Raw genomic sequence first — 8002 nt, forward strand, 5'->3', positions numbered from 1 at the left:
ATAATTTTTGCAAAGGCAGTTTCACTACTACTTGATAAAGCCAAGCCTCACAGCAGTAAGGGAAACTACTTACTTGCCAGAGTCTTAATAGTGTTCAGAAAGCAGAGGACGAAAGGAGATGAGGTTTTGGAGTCTGGTTCCAGGCAGGTATTTCAACGGAGGGGCTGGATTGGGGTTTGATAATGATCTTGATATGAGTTTAGGATTGGAGGACACAGTGAGGTGGGGATTTTGAGGCAAGGGGTTCAAAAGATTCTGGGGAGCAAACTGTTGTTTCACACTTTCTACTGAAAAGTTTAACCATTTGATATTCATTTAAATGAGTTTGGGAAATTCCTGAAATGAACCACAAGGTATTTGTAACATATATCTTTCTGGGAAAGAGTTTCCTGGAATAGTAAAGTCATGTTAATGAAGACAGCGCAATAGTAAAATGATGTCAATGTAGAAAGCCAGCTGTGTGGAGGGAAATTGTTTCAGTTCTCATCACACACCTACAGGCTCCTCAGCCCACCTCTTCCTCATCGGCTTAGATCCTAAGCCCCAGCTCTCCACCGAATGAAGTAACTCTCTAAGATTCCCATGCGAATAGGTCACCCTGTCTAATATCCTCCCATGGCTCCTTGGCTTTCAGAATTGCGTCATCTCCTCATCATAGCTTTGAAGGACTCCCAGGACTAGATTCCTGCTCCCCTCTCAGGTATCACCTCCAGTCACGTTCCCATACAACTCCTCTGCTCTAGAACTGCAGGGCTCCGTCAGTTCCCATGATGCATGGTGCCCACTCACACCACCACACCTTTGTCCATGTCAGCCTGTCAGCCTGGAAATCCCTCCCTACCTCACTGGATAAATCCTATTCATTCTTCAGGATGCAGTTACAGTGCCACTTGATGTTTGGTCTCTGATGACAACCAAATAATTTCCAACTCCTTTCTCCAGCTTCAGAAAGTGAGCTGTGGAGTCAGAAACACTACCTAACAGCTATGTAATCCTGAGGGATTCATTTAGCCTCTCTTTCTCTTGAAGGTAACAATAGTGCCTACCTGGTTATGATTATTAAATAAGACCAGTGTTTCCCACACTTCAGCATCCCACCACTGATGACCACCTTCATATCTGTCATATCGCTATAATTTTCTAAATAAATTGACTCACATTGTAAAATTCCTTTTTTAAAAAGAGATGGAGTCTTGCTCTATCACTCAGGCTGCTGGAGTGCAAGTAGCGCTGTTACAGGTAGTTAGACAAGCATGAGTGGGGCTGGAGAGGGCTCTTCCCCCACCCGCTAGGAATGTCAGGTGATGTTTTGGCAATGATCACATTGCCTCTCTAAAAGGGATACATTGGCAGCCTGCACCAGGGAGAAGCCATGTCCTGATGGCCTGCACCTGTTGCACTGAAGTGTTAATTGAGCGCAGGCACCAGGGAGACACAACTTCCTGGGCATGTGCATTAAGAGATAAAATGGAGGCCAGGCACGGTGACTCATGCCTGTAATCCTAGCACTTTGGGAGGCCAAGGCGGGCGGATCACCTGAGGTTGGGAGTTCAAGACCAGCCTGACCAACATGGAGAAACCCCATCTCTACTAAAAAAAAAAAAAAAATACAAAATTAGCCGGGCGTGGTGGTGCAAGCCTGTAATCACAGCTACTCGGGAGGTCGAGGCAGGAGAACCACTTGTACCCGGGAGGCGGAGGTTATGGTGAGCCAAGAGCGCACCACCGTACTCCAGCCTGGGCAACAAGAGTGAAACTCCAACTCAAAAAAAAAAAAAAAAAGGGAGACAAAATGGCAAAGGATGACCTTCTGAGGGCACTCCACCAGAAAAGGGAAGAAAGCCTCAGATGGGCATGTGTACAACTTCCTAAGCACTGTGAATGCTCATCTCCCAAGGATAAGGAGGGCACTGTGCATGCGGGCAGCCCACTCTGAGAGAAGAATCATGGGAAAGGGGCCAGCCTATAAAGTCCTAGGATCAAAGTTCAACACTGCACTTGACCTTCAGGTGCCTGTTTGGGTGCAAGTGAATTTTCCTTTCTTTCCTGTTCTAAAGCCTTTTTTTTTTAAATAAGCCTTTTTAAATAAACTGCTCTGAAACTTGCCTCAGTTTCTTTTTCTGCCTTATGCTCCTCGGTTGAATTCTTTCTTCTGAGAAAGGAAGAACTGAGGTTGCTGCAGACCCATACAGATTCACCAGTAACTCTGATATCTTCCACCGGTAACAGTGCAATCATAGCTTGCTGCAGCCTCAAACTCCTGGCCTCAAGCAATCCTCCCACGTCAGCCTCCTGAGTAGCTGGGACTATAGCAGTGTGACCATGCCCAATTTAAAACTAGTATTTAATATGCTTGTTTTTATATGCTATGTGTATTCATCAGAGCTAAGTAGTGGAAACAGAAACCCCTCTAAGTATTTCAAGCAGAGAGGGATATAAGTAAGATAATTATATGCTTTCAACATTGTTGGAAGAGCTGGAGGAGAAGTCAGGGGTCATAACATGAGTACTGGTTTCAAGGTCACACCACCAGAGTTTCAACCCAGAGATCAGGAAGCTGCTGGGCAGCTGCTGTTACCGCCATGGCAGCACCACCACTGCACCACTGCCTCACTCCCGCTTATGAGGAAGATTGAACTGGGAACACTGCACAATTCCAAAAGGAACAATGCAGCCTATGTCATTGGTCATCTCACCCTGTGTCCTCTAAGAAAAGACAAAGTAAGGAATGAAGCGTGGGTCATCTAAGGAACAAAGCTAACCCTGGTTCTTGCCTCGCTGGAACACCTGCACTGCTCTTATGATGGCCTTTCTTAAAAGGACGTTTATTTTCTGACTCCCATTTCCCTCCACCTCTCTTCCATCCTGCTGCTTCCAATTCTCTTTAGCTTCTTTAAGCAACTACAAGTGGCCAGTTGCTATCAAAGACTAGGAGAAGGTTTAAAGGAGGGATATTCATAAGATTTGGTCCTTCATTTAATAAGTACGTGTGTTACCTGCATCTTCTCTGCGTGCAGGGGCAAAAATGAGTTTAAGATGTAATCCTTTATGTAAAAACATACATACATGGCACCAGACACTGTGCTAAGCCCTTAGCATTCATTATCCCATTTACTTCTCTCAGATCTCTAAGATCAACACTGCTGTCATCCTCATATTCAGATAAGAAAAATGAGACTCAGAGAGAATGGGTAGTCTTTTTAATGTCACCCAAGCTCTAGAGTTGCAGAGACAGATTCAAACCCAGCCCTGTCTTACCCCAAAGCCACTGCCCATTCCATGACAGTGGCATTTCTTGTTATCGAAAAGTGTGGTGTTTTGCCGAGATGCCATCAAAATAACTAGAACCTAAATCTGGTAACTTCAAACTGTCAGTTCCCCACTCTCCCTAAGAAATGCCTACAAGTTCCTGTGCCATCAGCGCTCAAAGGCAGCCGACTGGCCTGGGGGTCAAATCAAAAGCCTTAAGACTCCAGGGAGGAAGTACTTGCTTCTGAGTATGGTAGACTTCCAGAAAGACTCAACATTTGATCCAAGATTGGAAAGATAAGTAAACATTGCCAGGCAGAGGTGGGGCAAAGAGCATGTTCCAGGTAAAGATGCAGATGTGGGAAAACCCAGGACCTGTTTGAGGGGCGTGTGGAACACGCTGGAAACAGCAGCAGATGAGGAGAGGACAAGTGTGTGGCGCTTAGCCTAGTGCCCGGCACATAGGAAGTACCGGGTACATTTTCCTGGAAGGCCTTGGAACTCATCGTTAAGAGAGCAGCCTCGGAGTCAGAGGCCTGGCTGTAAATTCTGTCTCTACCACTTAAAAACTGTGAGGCCTTGGGCACTGGCTTATCTCTCAGGTGTCACTTCCCCATCAAAATGGTGAACTAACAGTCTTGCCTCATGGTGGTCATGAGGATCAAATGACATAGGCCCTCTTAAGTGCTCTCTCTGGCGTCCTAATTAGGGAAAGGGAGTCAGGCTGGTGGGAGCAAGGGAAAGCAAAAAGAAGAAGCAGATAAGCTACAAGTCTGCCTTTCTATATGCTCCAGGACACACAGCCCTCCTACACAAATAACTCACAATCTTCCTACACCGAGCTATCACCAGACCTTCAGCTGATACGAAAAAATGCAAGTTAGCTCCCTGCAACCTTGGCGTTAATCAGTACTGAATGAGACACTCTGCAGCCTCAGAACCAACCTATAAAACCTCCAGCAAGCCTTTGTTTCTTTGCAGTCAGCGCCTCTTCTGCTGAGCCTGCCCGTTGCTTCCTGGAAAGGTATTTTCATACTTTCTCTAATGAATCTGCCTTTTTCTACCTACAACTGCCTTGGTAAATTTTTTTTTTTTTTTTTTTGAGACGGAGTTTCACTCTTGTTGTCCAGGCTGGAGTGCAATGGCGCAACCTCAGCTCAGAGCAACCTCCGCCTCCCGGCTTGAAGCGATTCTACTGCCTCAGCCTCCCGAGTAGCTGTGATTACAGGCATGCGCCACCATGCCTGGCTAATTTTGAATTTTTAAAGAAGCAGGGTTTCTCCACGTTGGTCAGGCTGGTCGCCAACTCCTGACCTCGGGTGATCCGCCCGCCTCAGCCTCCCAAACTGCTGGGATTACAGGCGTAAGCCACCGCACCCGGCCTGTCTTGGTAAATTCTTTTATCTCCCCGCCACCTGTCCAGATAGTCGTCGCTCGCCTCCGACACTTTCTTCATGGCTTCAGCTGCAAGTAACAGCAAACCCAACTCAAACAGGCCGAAGAAAACAAGGGACGTTTTTGACTCACTCTGGGAAAAGTCCAGAGGTGGAACAAGCCCCACGTGCCATGGGATCCAGAGAGACAGTGTCATCAGGTCTCCCTTTCTCTCTCATTCTCCATCACTTCTCCTCTCTGCTTCTCTGTGTAGATTTCAAACCCAGAAGAGAGAAGCCCCCTCTCCACCACACCTACACATCACATTTCAGAAAGCTAAGGATGGGGCCGGGCGCGGTGGCTCAAGCCTGTTATCCCAGCACTTTGAGACGCTGAGGCAAGAAGATCACCTGAGGTTAGGAGTTCGAGGCCAGCCTGACCAACATGGCGAAACCCTGTCTCCACTAAAAATACAAAAATTAACCAGGCGTGGTGGCACTTGCCTGTAATCTCAGCTACTCTGGAGGCTGGGACAGGAGACCAGCTTGAACCCAGGAAGCAGAGGTTTCAGTGAGCCAAGATAGTACCACTGCACTCCAGCCTGGGCGATAGAGCAAGACTCCATCTCAAAAAAAAAAAAAAAAAAAAAAGAAAGAAAGCTGAGAGTGGCGGTGGGGCGGCAGAGAGTAGAATGCTCGGATTGGCTGGCCTGTGGCCAGGCTGTGAAAAGCTCTCATTGGCTGGCCCATGGCCAGGCTGTGAAGGGTTCTGATTGGCTGGCCTGTAGCCAGGCCGTGAAATGCTCTGACTGGCTGGCCTGCATCATATGCTCATCTCTCATCAATAGCAGCGCAACACTTCAGAGACTGGGAGAGGAAGTGGGGGAGAAAGCACATTCCTGGAAAGGGATTTTAGATGGACAAATTAACATTTAGATGCTTTTAACAGAGTACCTGGCTTGTGATAAGTCAATAAAGTTGGGGCCACAAGGAGGAGGGGAGCCTTGAATTCTAGGCCAAGACTACTGAGCTTTAGTTAATGGACAGTGGGGAGCTTACTGAAGTTTTTGTCCAGAGTGGTGCTGTCAGAAGATTGGTCTGATAATGGGGTGTAGCAGAGAGTGGAGGAGGGTGGAGAAGCTGATGGCAGAAAGATTCTCTGGGAGCCTAGTATTCACCATCCAGGTTAAAGAGATGATAGTAGATACAGAATAAAGGGCTTCACTCAATGATGGAGAAGAATGACAGGCTATGGGAACCTACTCCCTGGGGTCAGCAAATAAACGTGAGGAGGGGAGAGGAGGTTACAAGCCTGAGTATCTGACAGGATGGTGGTCTGACCTTTCCAGCTTCTCTCTTTCCTCCTCCCTCTTTTCCGCCTTTCCCTCCCTCCCCACTCTCTTTCAAAATGATGCATGTTTCCCTCTTATCCTGGACAGCACAGTCTTTCTCTGATGTATTTCACGTGCACACCTGCTGAGGGCTCTACCTGGAGCAGTTTTGAAAGGATTGGTTCCTAAACAAATGCAGTGAATTAAGAAAGGTTCCAGTGAATGAAATGTTTTCCCTCTTAGCATAAAAAAAAGAAACAAACAGGGGATCTGTAGAATGTGCAAAAGACCTGGAATACCTACTATCAGTCTCTTTCAAAGAACATGAAATGGATAAAATTTTGGCCTAGGAACCTTGAGTGTTATAACATGTTGATGTTAGAAATGCAAAGAATGTAGCAGAAGATGGGTTCTGCCAGCATCAGTAGAGAGGTGAAAGGTGTGTGTGCATCTGTGTGTGTGTGTGTGTGTGTGTGTTTACAGGTCTGTGAGTGAGCTGAAGAATAACAACTAACACCTTCGAGATAGCTAGCTGCTTCCCACAGTGACACTGACCAAAGTTATCAAAAAAATAAGGAGCAGGTCTGAGGAAGGCAACAGAGAAATTTTTCGAGCTCTGCTTCCAAAGTGTATTTCTTAAGGGGCTGGGGTGTGAAGCAGACGGTTGCGGAATGTGATGCACTGAAGCTACCTGGAAGCAACCTGTCCCTGCTCCACGGAGCCCTCAGCCCAGGCAGAGGCCACAATACATTTTTTTAAAGCAGTGATGAAAATTTGCTCTTGTGTTTCGCCTTTGAAACTTGGGTGTGTTACTGAGTCTTTTGACAATCTCAAGAGGAATGCTAATCCCCCTCTTCATAATCTGGGAAGTAAAACCGACTATAAACCACCCAAAGAAGTAGTTATGGCATGGCCTATTATTTGTCTGCCAGCTTCAATCTTTCACAACATAGCCTCTTGCATAAAGACCACATAGGGGATGGCAGAACAGCAAGTTAGAAGGTGCCTATGACTCTGAAAATCTGATAAAGACATTAATAGGGTAGTGACAGTTGGGAGCAGGCCCCCCAAAATCTGGCCATAAACTGGCCCCAAAACTGGCCATAAACAAAATATCTGCAGCACTGTAACATGTTCATAATGGCCCTAATGCCCACACTGGAAGGTTGTAGGTTTACGGGAATGAGGGCAAGGAACACCTGGCCCACCCAGGGCGGAAAACCGCTTAAAGTCATTCTTAAGCCACAAACAATAGCATGAGCGATCTGTGCCTTAAGGACAGGCTCCTGCTGCAGTTAACTAGCCCAACCTACTCCTTTAATTCAACCCATCCCTTCGTTTCCCATAAGGGATACTTTTAGTTAATTTAATATCTATAGAAACAATGCTAATGACTGGTTTGCTGTTAATAAATATGTGGGTAAATCTCTGTTCTGGGCTCTCAGCTCTGAAGGCTGTGAGACCCCTGATTTCCCACTTCACACCTCTATATTTCTGTGTTTGTCTTTAATTCCTCTATTGCCACTGGGTTAGGGTCTCCTCGACCGAGCTGGTCTCAGCAAGTGGCATCCATCGTGGGGGCTCAAATCTAGGTCAAAGGGTCACCAGAGCGACAGTTGGAATGGAAAACTAGCTGGAGGATACCCGAGTACTCTTAAAGCAATCACCGTGGTGAGTAAGAAGGGGAGCTCAGAAGCGTCAGGGTAACAATGGGACAGATGTGGGGTCTGGTTGGTTTCACCTTGGAACTTTTTCACACTGATGATGAGGAGGAACAAGAGTATAGAGTATAGCGAAGTAACAGAAGAGGTTACAGAGCATGTTTATTTACCAGCTAAAGCTAAAGTGGCAAAGGAGGGAGAGGTTCATCCCTACCCTTCTGCACCCCCTCCTTATTATTTTGAAGAAAATGACCCTCCAGATCTTTCTTTTCCAGAGGACACTGGGCAAAAATTAGTTGCCCCAGTGACTGTTCGAGCAGCGCCTTGAGCAACCACTCTTAGTTCTATTCAGGCAGGAATCCAGTAAGCTAGACGAGAGGGTGATTTA

At 46.6% G+C, this 8002-nt stretch overlaps 1 annotated feature.

Moving 5' to 3' along the window:
• Positions 1243-1443: a silencer, noted in NCBI's record as "peak6024 fragment used in MPRA reporter construct". NCBI's record gives its function as "represses an SCP1 promoter by STARR-seq MPRAs in K562 erythroleukemia cells {active_cell/tissue: K562}" and the evidence as "EXISTENCE:reporter gene assay evidence [ECO:0000049][PMID:32103011]".

Source organism: Homo sapiens, chromosome 6, assembly GCF_000001405.40.
Source record: "Homo sapiens chromosome 6, GRCh38.p14 Primary Assembly".
NCBI classification, from domain to species: Eukaryota; Metazoa; Chordata; class Mammalia; order Primates; family Hominidae; genus Homo; species Homo sapiens.